Source organism: Homo sapiens, chromosome 4, assembly GCF_000001405.40.
Source record: "Homo sapiens chromosome 4, GRCh38.p14 Primary Assembly".
NCBI classification, from domain to species: domain Eukaryota; kingdom Metazoa; phylum Chordata; class Mammalia; order Primates; family Hominidae; genus Homo; species Homo sapiens.
This window is the reverse complement of record NC_000004.12, coordinates 25,848,646-25,862,297: the sequence shown is the minus strand read 5'-3', so window position 1 is coordinate 25,862,297 and position 13,652 is coordinate 25,848,646. Positions and strand designations below refer to the sequence as shown.

The 13,652-nt window shown below is 43.5% G+C and overlaps 1 protein-coding gene and 1 long non-coding RNA gene across 10 annotated transcripts in view, besides 1 other annotated feature; one reads left to right on the top strand and one right to left on the bottom strand.

Moving 5' to 3' along the window:
- LOC102723733 (uncharacterized) overlaps positions 1-1,171 on the bottom strand; it is a 44,562-nt gene extending 43,391 nt beyond the window's left edge. The window contains exon 1 of the long non-coding RNA XR_427503.5: positions 145-1,171. This is a non-coding gene — a long non-coding RNA (uncharacterized LOC102723733). The remainder of the gene's footprint in view (positions 1-144) is intronic.
- The window catches only part of SEL1L3 (SEL1L family member 3), a 149,603-nt gene that overhangs the window by 1,269 nt on the left and 134,682 nt on the right, over positions 1-13,652 (top strand). The gene's annotated exons all lie outside the window — the stretch shown is intronic.
- Positions 17-311: a silencer, noted in NCBI's record as "tiled region #7924; HepG2 Repressive non-DNase unmatched - State 4:PromP, and K562 Repressive non-DNase unmatched - State 1:Tss". NCBI's record gives its function as "represses a minimal TATA promoter and a strong SV40 promoter by Sharpr-MPRA in HepG2 and K562 cells {active_cell/tissue: HepG2 | K562}" and the evidence as "EXISTENCE:reporter gene assay evidence [ECO:0000049][PMID:27701403]".

The window sequence follows — 13,652 nt, the reverse complement described above, 5'->3', positions numbered from 1 at the left end:
TGGGCTTCCCTCTCAATCTTCTCGCAGCTCCTTTCCTTCCCGTGCCCAACTTCGCCTCTTACTCTCGGCGCCCGCCACCCGCGTCGACCCTCCTTTTAGTTTCCACCGGGTCCTCCCGGCCCGGACAGTTTTCTGCCAACGCACCTCGCATCTCCAGCGCTCTTCAACTCCTCCTTGGTCACTCCAGCCAAGTTGCGGATGCCGGAAAGAAATCTAGTTCTCTGTAACACGCTTACCGCCAGAGTGGTGACTTTAGCTGCGTCTTGAACATTGTCATTTCAGAGAATATGTTTGGCTCATGCATGTCAGTTTGCAATTTGCACACTTCTTGGCTTCTGTTTTAGTCATCAACTAAAGGGCAGTAACCTATTTTTCAAAACCCATTTATTTTAAATACCAGAGTAGCTGAGACCCCTCAGAACAAAGTGGGGAGAAATTTTCTCAGTTCCTTTGAGGGCTTGCTTGCTTCTGTTTTGAGTTCTCCTAAACAATAGTAAATTTACAGAAGGCGACACCCTTCCTGCCCAGAGTAACTTATGTTCCACAATCCTGCAGAAACCTTGGGTTATCTCGCCATATATTACTGTAAATAAATGAAATGGAAAATGCTGAATCATGAAACTGATGTAATAGGAAATTCACAGAATGCCAAAAAAAAAAAAAAAAAGAGCAGTGTCATTGTCCAGAATTCATTTCACTTATGTGGCATTGTCATTATTTGGAGTCTTTCTTTTTGGAAGCTAAAAACTGCTTAGGAGATACTGGCAGAAATTAGAATTTGATTCTGAAGAAATTTGCCACTCAGCCCGTTTCTTTTAACGTTTTTTACTTCTTGAATGTTTCATTTCTTGAAGCAAGAAGGTGTAAAAATGCAAATTATAATTCTGCCTGTGCATCTACCTGTTGAGCAATCCGTGCTTTTACTCATATTTCAGAATTAGCCAATATCAAATTGTGTGGTTGGGCTTACTTCATATTTTCATAAGAAGTTGTCAGTTAACATGAATGATATTTTTTTGCCCAAGAGATATTATTATTTAATATTTATGCCACAAGGTTACAACACACAGGCTCATAAATAAAACTGCCATAACAAATGACAAGATTTCAGTTTAAACAGATGATCCCTGTACACAGGGCCCTGCTGGCTACCCACAGAAGCAGAAGTGATGTAGTAGAGTGTTGCGTGAAACATTCATATACAAATGGGCCGGGCCGAAAAGTTCCACGTGGACATCTCAAGACCTGGCAAGGAGGGGGACTACTTCTGGACAGTTCAGGAAGTCAGAGTCAGGAGAGCAAAGCCTAAGGGCCTAAGTGGACTCTGGAAACAGAGACAGATAATGATGGAGCAAGTATTCCTGTGAAAGTTCTGTGTACACCAAGGGGGATTAAGAGAACAGAGGGAAAAATGATGCCATGGATAGACTCAAGTGAGATAGTGAAGGAGTGAGGAAGGGCTCCGGAAAGAGTAATTTTAGAAAATACTGTGATGTGGAAAATAACTAGAGCATGGATGAATGTCTTGGCAGATGGGGAAGGAATGGATTTGGGGACCTCATGGTGGGGGGAAATGTCAGTGCTTCCTGCCTTTGTATGCTTCCTTCAGATGGACTTCTGATACGCTTACTGTACAAGACAGACTTTGATAAACAAGAGAGCCATTTTGCAAAGGACACAAAAGGCCGACTTAAAAGGTAGTCTCCACATTTTGTTCTGAAGATCTAGCCGTTTACTAGGGATGTTGCTCTTGGGTCTACACTACCCAAGATACTACTGAAGGCAAGGCTTCTTGATCTTGGAGAAGCTTGGTGTGAGAATTGGGGAAAATGTAAATATCCATATGAAACACTTGAAAAACATAAAACAATAGAGAGAAAACGCAAATGTATAATTGTGTGCATTTTGCTCAATCAAGGAATGCTACCTGGAGGAAGTGGTTGGTCAGGGGGATGGGGCTGGGCAGGTGCAGGGTAGAGATGGAGCAGAATAGCTGGGCAGGATCCCAGGAATATGTAGACTCTAGAGGAGGAAAGGTCTTTCATAATTTGAAAGCCTACATGGTAATAACGATAGCTTACATTGTGCTATACATTGTGCTAAATCGTTTATAGGCATTATCCAGTATTTATCTTAGCAACAGCCCTCTGAGGTAGGAGCTACTATAATCTCCATTTAGATGAGATAACAGAGACTCAGAGAGGTTAAGTTAGTTGCCCCAGGCCATACAGTCTGAGATTGAAACCCAAATCTGTCTCCCTCCAGAGCCCCAGCTCTAAACCACACTAGCTTATTGTCTTCTGGATTTTGCTGCTTGTAACTCATTCTTCATCGATGTACGGGCCATTAGCAGAGCTCTAGCAATTAGCAGCTACTGTGCAATTGGCCAGGATGTGAGGTCATGTCTAAAGTAATCTAAAATATACAAAGCAGGAAGCGCAGGCCACAGAATAGAAGCAGGATGTTAAAGTGGGGAAGAAAGGTAAAGCCAGAAAATATTTGCCATCGTTAATGAAGAGATAAAGGTTTGGGGTTTTTATGTAGTCCAGAGGCAGCTGGTAGAGTTTAGCATTTGAGTTTGGATGAATGTGCATACAAGTGTACAGCAAATGTGCCTTGGAATGCATTCCAAAGCCAAATTGCCTATGATTTGGGGACCAGTTCCTGTTTTGTGTTATCTTCACCTATTTGCCTGTTCACAAGGGCTGGAGGTTGAGAGCAGCTTCTGAATAGATGCCTTTAAGCACCTGCCCTCACAGGGAGCATGCTTCCTGGAGTCAGGGTCCTGAGGAGTGGGTGCCTTCCGTCTCCATAGGCTGGGACGGAGTAACCTTCAGTATCAGCTCAAAAAGAGTACTGTGTCTGTAGCTAGGATACTGCCAAAGCATGAATAATTGTGATGAGGGCTGAAAGATAAGTCACGGAACGATGCCAAACAGATTTCTGAAAAGATGATCCCTGGTTCCAGTGGCTGCCAGAAAATTCTGAGGTCACCAAAGGCCAAGATGCAGAGAGCCTCCTCAGAGAGGGAGAGGGCCTCGAAAGCAAAAGATAATGAAATTGCTTCCACTGAGGTCGCGGGTGCTGAGTACTGTGCCCCACGCAGAACTTTCCCTGCCCAACGGGCCTTCTTGCTATTTTCTTACACCATTAACTCTTACCTTCTTCCAACTTGGCTAGAACCAGCCTGAGGCTGCCCCAGCTCTCTATCTGTGATAATGGCACTTCCAGAAAACAATTTTGTTCGTTCTAAGCTCTGGTCTCCAAAGTATAATATTTTCTTATATGAAAAGATAAATCTCAGGATGGCCAGTATTGATGTCAGCTGTCAGTTGAAATGTTCGGAGTGGATAGCTGCACTTGTTAGACAATCAGACTGAGGACAAAGAAGTAAGAGGACATTAACAGCACAGAGGCTGGGCGCGGTGTCTTACGCCTGTAATCACAGCACTTTGGGAGGCCGAAGCAGGCGGATCACGAGGTCAGGAGATCGAGACCATCCTGGCCAACATGGTGAAACCCCATCTCTACTAATAATACAAAAATTAGCTGGGTGTGGTGGCGTGCACCTATAATCCCAGCTACTTGGGAGGCTGAGACAGGAGAATTGCTTGAACCCAGGAGGGAGAGGTTACAGTGAGCTGAGATCGCGCCGCTGCACTCCAGCCTGGCGACAGAGTGAGACTCTGTCTCAAAACAAACAAACAAACAAACAAACAAAAAAATCAAAAAAAACAAAAACAAAACAACAACAACAAAAAAACAGAACAGATACATGTGGGACAGTTAGCAGACAGCGGCTGTGACAGAGCCTTGTACAGGATTCCCTGTAAGTGGCCACACACCCTCGGTCATCCATCTAAGAGTATTCATTAACCCCTCACTATGTGTGCAATGCAGAGCATGAGAAGATCAAAACGAGGTAAAGAGATCTGCAGTTATCTAGCTTGAGGGAGAGGTATTATGAATATTTGAAAATAGAGATCATCCCCAAACCTCACATCAACCAATAGCTTCCATATTCATCCTGACTGGAGCTCCTAAAATTTCCCAAGCCATGGTGTTGGCCTCTTGCCTTCTATTTCTTCTGGCTGCCTGTTGGCAAAAGCGTCAGAGCTAGAGGACAGGTAGGAGAGAATAACCCAGGCAATTCGCTGGAAACATGGATAGACTGGAGTAGACCGTAAATAGCCTAAAGTGAATTCAGTTACCCTGTTTAATGGCTCATGCCATTCCCCTGAGAAAGGAGCCGAGGGGCAGGAGGCGTGTTCGGCCCATGAGGAATGGCTGATGGGATTCTGCCTTGGCAGGCCTTGTTTCCAGTCTCTACCTGGAGAAGGGCTTAGTTATACTGGGGAGCTGGCTGAGTCTGGTGTTTGTGTGTTTGTGGTTAAGGCAATATCTGTCTCCTCCAAACTCAAGGCATGCCGGCATAATGGCATTTTAGCCCCAACCCTTTCAAGATGGGAATAAGGAAAGTCATGAGATTCCCCAACCCTGTAGCCAGAAAGCGGTGACAGGTGTATAAAGGCAAGGACGTGAGTTGAGGGCATCATCTTTGGGTGTTGTTAGAAGACAAGAGGCACACCTTCCCTGGCTTTGGAGTCAGCCAATGTGGATTTGAATTTTGGTTCTGCTTTTTGGTAGCTGGTTGACCTTGGGCAAGTTACTTACCCTCTCTGAAGGCATTCCATTGCCTCAGCTGTAACAGTGGGATGCTGTCTCCCTCTGTGGGTTGTTGTGAGGATTGGGTTAGAAGTGAGAAGTTCTATGAGGTCCCATGTGAGAGGTGGAGGTTAGAAGTCAGAGAGAGAAAAAGGTTTAACACACCCATCCCAGTGCTCAGTACACAGTAGGTACTCAATGAAATAAGAGCAAACCAAGCTTAGGTAGCTTTGTGTGATGTAAGTTGGGAAGAAACAGCATATTAAATAGTATGGGGGAGAATCTTACACAACCAGGAATATTGATCATGACTGTGATGGTGTGGCTCTGGCCAGCTCTCAGGTTTAGGAGGGAATAATACTCAACTGGGAAGTTCTTCCCTAAGCACATGCTGATTTTGAAGTCTGTATTGACATCATCATCCATTTTGCTTAATTGCATGCTTTGTTGACCTAAACAGAATTTTTGCTTATATCTAGTAGACAGAAATTACAAAAATAGGCCCTTTAAGGCAAGACACTTACCTTTTTGATCTAGGGAAAATGTGATCCAGCCAGTTTGAAGAGAAAGCCCTCATGAGCCACAGTTTTCTTAGAAGAATGGGGCAGAAAGGTCAGGAATGAGAAAAACAGTTATTGTTTTCTTGTCATACCCACCCACAGACATGTGTACATGCCAATGAACTTCCCGTAGCAAGATGTGGATGATTTAAAGTTTCCCAATCTCTCTGTTCCTTCCTTAAATACCAAGTGGAGACCAGATAGAGAACAAAGCCAAGTTTTCTCAGCTCTTTGAGCAAGGGAGGGTTATTTGAATAGCATCTCTTCTTATTGATTTTCTTAAAGGAATCAAATGCAGTTATCCTAAAAGAAGTTTAGGTCATATTGATAGTTTTATTTTTCCATCCAGAATATACATAAATTCATCTGTTTCTTGATTCCCAGGCTGAGTTCAATGCATTTAGATCTCCTATTTGGGGTCTTCTATCATGAACACACATTAACTGGCCCATTTCTTTGTTTTTTTTTTTTTTTTTTTTAATTACAATACATGCACATTTACACAAAAGCAAGAGAATCTGTGTTTTGTGACTGTGCATGACGTTGTCAAATTTGACTTTGATGAGGGCTCACATCTGGTATAAACATATTTGAGGGCTCAAGCATTTTTCAGGGCCCAGCTCTGTTGCGTGCAAAATGGATCAGTATGTTGCTTTCAAGGTGGAACATCTATTGTAGCTGCCTAAACCACATAATTTGAGGGGCACAGATGCCCCTCTTCACCCCAAATATCTTGCTTAGAGTTGCGGTGCATTTAGACTGTGCTTTTAAGGCATTATCTCCACAAAGCTGGTGTAGAAATACAGATACGTGACCTTACCTCAGTATTTTTTCATTATCACAGTAACATGGATGAACTTGCCAGATGAACAGGAATTCAGCAGAGGGTCGAGGGATGAGAAATCTTAAAAATTTAATTTGTATTTTTGGTGTGGAGAAATGGAAACGGTCTAGAATGTAGGGCAGTTGTCTGAAAAGGTCTAGAGGGACCAAATAGCTGGGAGAAGTTTGCCCCAAATGGTTAAGGTGGGTGCCAAGGTGCCACCTTCTCTGACCTCACAGTTCCCCAGCTCAGCTCTGATCCCCAGGGACCAATGAGGTGCCAAAGGGTAAGGGCTCTTTGGAAGGAATTAACGAGGCTGGGAGAAAAATAGAGAAATGATGGGGGCCCCTTACAAGAGAACTTACGAGTATAAGAAGAAGGCAGTGGGGACTCAAAACTGATCAAGTCATTTGGTTTATATGCAAGTGCCCTCAGGGCCACTGAGGCACCTGGCAGAAATGCCCATGCCCAGTGCTTTTTTTTTTTCCTGAGACGGAATCTCGCTCTGTTGTCCAGGCTGGAGTGCAGTGGCACAATCTCGGCTCACTGCAACCTCCACCTCCCAGTTTCAAGTGATTCTCCTGCTTTAGCCTCCCAGGTAGCTGGGATTACCGGTGCCCGCCACCACACCTGGCTAACTTTTTTTTTGTATTTTTAGCAGAGACAAGGTTTCACCTTGTTGACCAGGCTGGTCTCAAACTCCTGACCTCAGGTGATCCACCCGCCTCGGCCTCCCAAAGTGCTGGGATTACAGGCATGAGCCACCGTGCCCAGCCCCAGTGCTTTATTTCAGCAAGAAACACTTACTAAATTCTTACTGTGTGTCAGACTCTATCTTAGAAGCTGGAAACATAACAATGACATGGACTCTGAACTCATAATTTCTAAACAAAGGAACATGCAGATAAATTTTTAGCTTGTGTTAATGCAACCTGGCATGTGAAAATACCTATGAAGGCTGGACACGTGTCATGCCTGTAGCTGGAACTCTTCAAGTTAATTGCCTTATTTTCCTGGCAGGAAACAGCTTATAACCACACACATGACTTGAGCCAGGAAGTCAGCTTCAGCTTAATCAATATTTAGAGTGTGATGTGTTGCTAATCAGTGTTGGTTTTGTGCATAGGAAAGGTAGCCACGACTCGTGGTGAATCAGCTGCCCACAGGTCTGCTACAAGCCACCGGATGCCAGCTTCCTTCATTGCATGGGTGCCTCAAAGCACCTTCTTGAAGGGTTTAGACCATGTTCTGCACAGGCCATGCAGGGTGATTTTGAGGCCCTCTTTGGGGCCAACACACCCTCATTAACTTAAGGAAACATTGCCCCACCCCGAAGTTTCTCTTCTCTTGTACTCCAGCTGTCATTCAAGCTTCTCCTACTTGTCAAACAATCCATCTCAGTCCTTAAAATTTGATCTCTTTGCCTAGCTTAACTTCATGTTATCCTCTGACTTAGATCTTTTCTGAAAGAAACAATAGCAAAATGTCAACACTCTCCACCAGGGAACCTTTTAGAAAAATACAGAATCAAGCCCCATCAACTACACACATATGAAATGATGCCCAGTTGAGCTATTCACCCCGTTTCTCCTATATGAGAACTCCTAACAAAGCATATCTTCTGTCACCTTTTGTTCTTCAAAACTCTATCTGGGATAATAGCTTGATAATTGGCCAGGCGCTGTAGGCTCATGCTGTAATCCCAGCACTTTGGAAGGCCGAGGTGGGTGGATCACCTGAGGTCAGAAGTTCGAGAGCAGCCTGGCCAACATGGTGAAACTCGGTCTCTACTAAAAATATAAAAATTACCCGGGTGTGGTGGCACGTGCCTGTAGTCCCAGGTACTCAGGAGGCTGAGGCACGAGAATCACTTGAACCTGGGAGGCAGAGGTTGCAGTGAGCTGAGATTGTGCCACTGCACTTGAGCCTGGGCGATAGAGGGAGACTCAGTCTCAAAAAAAAAGCTTGATAATTTAGAAAAGCAGTTCGCAAACTATAGGCCTGTGGGCCTGTCCAGTCAGCTGCCTGTTTTTGTAACCAAAGTTGTATGGGACCACGGCCACACCCATTCAGTTATGTGTTGTCCCTATGGCTGTTTCAAAGTGTCCCTGCAAAACCTAAAATATTTACCATCTGGCTATTTTTCTTTTCCCAAGAAAGTCAGCTGACCTCAAATTTAGAATAGCACTATCCAGTTGAAATACAATGTGAACCACAAATTTCAAGCCACATATATCATTTTAAATTCTCTAGTAGCTATGTTAAAAAAGTAAAGAGAGGCCGGGGGCAGTGGCTCACACCTGTAATCCTAGCACTTTGGGAGGCCGAGGCAGGTGGATCACCTGAGGTCAGGAGTTCGAGACCAGCCTGGCCAACATGGCAAAACCCTGTCTCTACTGAAAATACAAAAATTAGCTGGGCATGTTGGCACATGCCTGTGATCTCAGCTGCTCAGGAGGCTGAGGCAGGAGAATCGCTAGAACCCGGGAGGCGGAGGTTGCAATGAGCCGAGATTGCCCTATTGCACTCCAGCCTGGGCGACAGAGCGAGACTCCATCTCAAAAAAAAAAAAAAAAAAAAAAAAAGGTAAGAAGAGCAGGCATAATGAATATTAATGTATTTTATTTAACTCAGTGTATCCAAATATTGTCATGTCAACATACAATTAATATAAAATTTATTAATGAGATATTTTGCAGCCCTTTTTTTTATACAAAGGGTTTGAAATTCAATGAATATTTTACACTTACAGGACATCTCAAATCAGACCAGCCACATTACAAGTGCTTAATATGACTTGTGACTACCATGTTGGATAACATATGTCTAACACCTATATACCTTGGGGTAACTTTTACTGCACCTGAGACTTTGAAACAGGTGAAAATGAAATAATCTTCATATAAGTATATGGAGAGTTTTTTTGAAACAGAATTTGAAGGGACGGCTCTGTGGAGAGTACACGGTGAAATGTGTATATGCCTTCTTATTTTTATTTTTATTTTGGAGGGGACAGGGCCTTACTCTATTGCTCAGTCTGGAGTGCATTGGCACTATCATAGCTCACTGTAACCTTGAATTTTGAGGCTCAAGTGATCCTCCTGCCTTGGCCTCCCAAAGCACTGGGATTACCAGCATGAGCCACAACACCTGGCGTGTATGTATGTCCATTATCCACAATGTTATAAGCATGGACCATCAAACAAAACTGAAACCACACTCAGGGTGCTGCATTAATTAATGAAGAAAAGTGGACTGTTGCATTTTTAGCAGTAAGATGTAAAATAATGAACACGGTTATTATGAACTGCACTTTTCTAGTAAAATCAAATGGTCATTACCCTGGCATTCTGTTTAAAAGAGGTTTTCACTGGAGATCCTAGCATCAGCACTAAAAATCTGACACCCCTTATCCCTACTCAAAAAATTATCAAAGTGGGAGAGCTGAGCCTGGGTGAGTTTTTAAGGTATACATGAAAGGAATGAGGAAGAGGTTTTAAGTTGTTCTTTGGGAAAGAACAAAGTGTGATATTTAATACACCTCTGCATGTCCTGGGTGCTGGGCTGCCCTTTGTCTCACAAAATAAGCAAATGTCTTATTTGACATTTGACTTATTTGTGGGATTAGTGAGGGAAACATTCGGGGCATTGCTTTGGAATAAGGCGTGTTGGCCACCCATTGGCTGGTTCGGCTTCCGCCAGCACCAGCGATCCCTGGCCTTGGGTGAAACTCTGTTGTGGACTTAACACTGTGATTTGCATCTTGAGAATGGGGGCGACATCTTGGCATATCTGGCTGAATTAATAAACCAGCACTTATGGACAAATGCTGGGTATATCCCTATTCATGTGGAAGCAGAATTTAGTCTAGAGTTTCCAGGAGGCCATGGAATGGTGACCATTAGTCACCATTGATATCATTTGCTATGGCGTGGGGAAGGTGGGAGTGGGTGGGTGGCTAGAAAAGGAGCCAGGTTTCTGGGCTTGCCTTTGCTCACCCACCAGCTGGGTGGTGTTGGAGAATGTCACCTCTTGATTGTCATTTCCTCGTCTGCAGAATAAGAGAGTAGACTGGCTTGTCACCAGACTCATCCACTGTAACATTCTCTGCTTCTAATTATGAGATGATTTTTATATGTGTTTCCTCCCTGTAATCTGGCAGCATAAACGAGAACATAAAACAATTAAACCTCTCCTGGGGGGGGTGGCATGGACAGTTTGCATTGTACCCCCTTCTTTATATATCTCTTCCCACAGGTTGCCCATGACTGGTCAAAAGGAATCACCAGCTCTTCTCCTATTCCCTCTGCCATTTGCAGAAGACATAGTTTCCACTGTGACCTTTTTTTTTTTTTTTTTTTTGAGACAGAGTCTCACTCTGTCGCCAGGCTGGAATGCAGTGGCACGATATCGGCTCACTGCAACCTCTGCCTCCCGGGTTCAAGCAATTCTCCTGCCTCAGTCTCCCCAGTAGCTGGGACTACAGACATGTGCCACCACGCCCGGTTAATATTTGTATTTTTAGAAGAGACGGGGTTTCACCATGCTGGCCAGGATGGTCTCGATCTCTTGACTTCGTGAACCGCCCACCTCAGCCTCCCAAAGTGCTGGGATTACAGGCGTGATCCACCATGCCCGGCCCACTTTGACCTTTTAGGACAGTTGCTTTCTCCTCACCTACTTAAAAAAAAATTGTGTAGTACACAATTCAAAAGTTAGGGAAGGATATACAGTGCATCTTTCTCTCTTATTCTGTCTCCTGGTCACCTCATTCTTATCCGTGTAAGCAACCAGTGATATGTGTATTCAAGTGACTATACACATGTACATATATATGTGTGTGTGTGGTGTGAGTGTGTATTTAATCCAAATGGTATTTCTGAGTCTGTTTTTTAAAAGCAAGCAAAAAAATGGGAAGTGACTGCCAGTGGGTACTGGGTTTCATTTTGGGGCAATGAAATGTTTGAAAATTGATTGTTGTAATGATTGATTGTTGACTAACTCTGTAAATCTACTAGAAAACGTTGCAATTTACACTTTCAGTGTGTGAATTGTGTGGTGTGAATTATATTCCAACAAACCTGAAATTTCAAAACCTGGGCTGGGCACAGTGGCTCACGCCTGTAATCCCAGCACTTTGGGAGGCTGAAGTGGGTGGATTACTTGAGGTCAGGAGTTCGAGACCAGCCTGGCCAACATCGTGAAACCCCATCTCTACTAAAAATACAAAAATCAGCCGGGTGTGGTGGCAGGTGCCTGTAATCCCAGCTACTCGGGAGGCTGAGGCAGGAGAATCACTTGAACCTGGGCGGCAGAGGTTGCAGTGAGCCGAGATTGCGTCACTGCACTCCAGCCTGGATGACAGAGTGAGACTCCAACTCAAAAAAAAAAACAAACAAACAAAAAAAAGAAAACCCTGAAAATTCAAAAACAAACAAAAAAACCAGACAGAAAACCCTTTGCGATCATTCCATTTTCTGTACGTGAAGAGCTTCCTCCTTTTAATAGCTGTATGGTACTCCATGAGTGGATGTACTATTTTTATTTAACCAGCTCCCTCTTGATGAGTTTAGGCTTCCCTATCTCCTGCAATTGCAAACTGTACTGGTGTGAAAATCTACACAAACATCATTTTGCACAACTTTCAGTGTATTAGTAGGTTAAACTCCTAGTAGTGAAATTATTGGTCCAGAGGGTGAGTGCATTTATAATTTTAGTAGATATTACTTGATTGGCCTCATAAAGATTAGAGATTACTGCCACCAACAATACATAAGAGGGCATGCTTCCTACACTCTGGTCAGTACGATGTGTTATCTGACTTTTTGATCTTTGCAAATCTAGTAGGGAAAAAATGGTATCTCAGTGCAGTTTCAGTTTGCATTTATCTTACTATGAATGAGCATTTACTTGTTGATTAGCTATGTCATTTGCTCATTTTTGTATGAATTGTTAGCCTTGTTTCTAATTGACATTGACTATCAGTTGCTTTAAAAGGGAGACACCACCCCCTTGTACAGAAACCTTTGTTGATTCTTTGCTGTCGGTAGAATAAAAGTTCACATTCGTTGGGCTGGGACTCAATGTTCTCCAGGGCCAAACTCTACTTTTCTTTTTAACCTCATACCTGCGTGTCCACATAGCTGCTTGCTATTCCCCAAGTACACCTGCATTCCCCTGCCTCTTGCCCGGCTTATGCTGTTCACACCCCTTGCAGTGCCTTTCCCTTGTGTCTCTACGTGAAGAACTTCTTTTCGTCCCTCAAAGCCCAACTGAGATACCGTTTCTTCCATAAAGCCTATCCCAGACCTTCCAGTTAGAATTATTCTCTCTCAGTGCTATGCACCCTTGGGCTTGTTTACAGTTTGATGGGAACACTGACCACGTTTCGCCTGTATTGCCATTATTTATAGACACGATTCCTTGATACCAAATTTCATGTCTTGTCCATCTTTGCCTCTCCCGCAGCTCTAAGTCAGAATTGAAAAAAGGAGTCCTTATTTTTTTCCTCAGAGGAGACCAAAGTGACTTTTTTCTTTTAAATTGTGGTAAAAATATGCAAGCATTAAAATGTACCTTTTTAATCATTTCTAAGTGTACAGTTCAGTGGTGTTAAGGACATTCCCACTGTTTTGCAACCAGCACCACTTTCTGTCTCACTATTTCATCGTCCCAAACTGAAACTCTGGACCCATTAAATCCTAACTCCTCAATCCCCTCTTCCCTTAGGCCCTGGTAACCTCTTTTCTCCCTTCTGTCTCTGTGAGTTTGACTACTCTAGGTGCTTCATGTAGGCGGATGATATAATGTCTGTTCTCTTGTGTCTAGCTTGTTTTCCTTAGCCTCATCTCCTCAAAGTTCATCCATTTTACAGCATACATCAGAATTTCATTCCCTTTTATGGGCTGAATAATATTCCATCCCATGTATATACCACATTTTTTCTACCCATTCATCCATGGATGGACCCTTGGGGTTGCTTTTGGCTAGCGTGAGTAATGCTGTTATGAACACGGGTGTACAAACATCTCTTCAAGTCCTTGCTTTAAATTTTTGGGGTGTATATCCAGAAGTGGAATTGCTGGGTCTGATCATACCATAATTCTTTTTTGAGATGGAGTCTCACTCTGTTGCCCAGGGTGGAGTGCAGTGGTGTGATCTTGGCTCACTGCAACCTCCACCTCCCGGGTTCAAGTGATTCTCCTGCCTCAGCCTCCCAAGGAGCTGGAATTACAGGTGTGCACCACCTTGCCCAACTGATTTTTGTATTATTAGTAAAGACAGGGTTTCACCATGTTGACCAGGCTGGTCTTGAACTCCTGACCTCAAGTGATCCACCCACCTGGGCCTCCCAAAGTTATGGGATTGAAGGCATGAGCCACCACGCCCAGTCTGATCATATGATAATTCTGTGTCTAATTTATTTGAGGAACTGCTATACTATTTTCCATAGTAGCCACACCATTTTACATTCTCATTAAGAGTGCATAAGGGTTCCAGTTTCTCCACATCTTCACCAACACTTGTTATTTTCTCTCTGTGTGTATGCGTTGTGTGTGTTTAATAATAGCCACCCTAATGGATATGCAGTGGTCCAAAGTGAC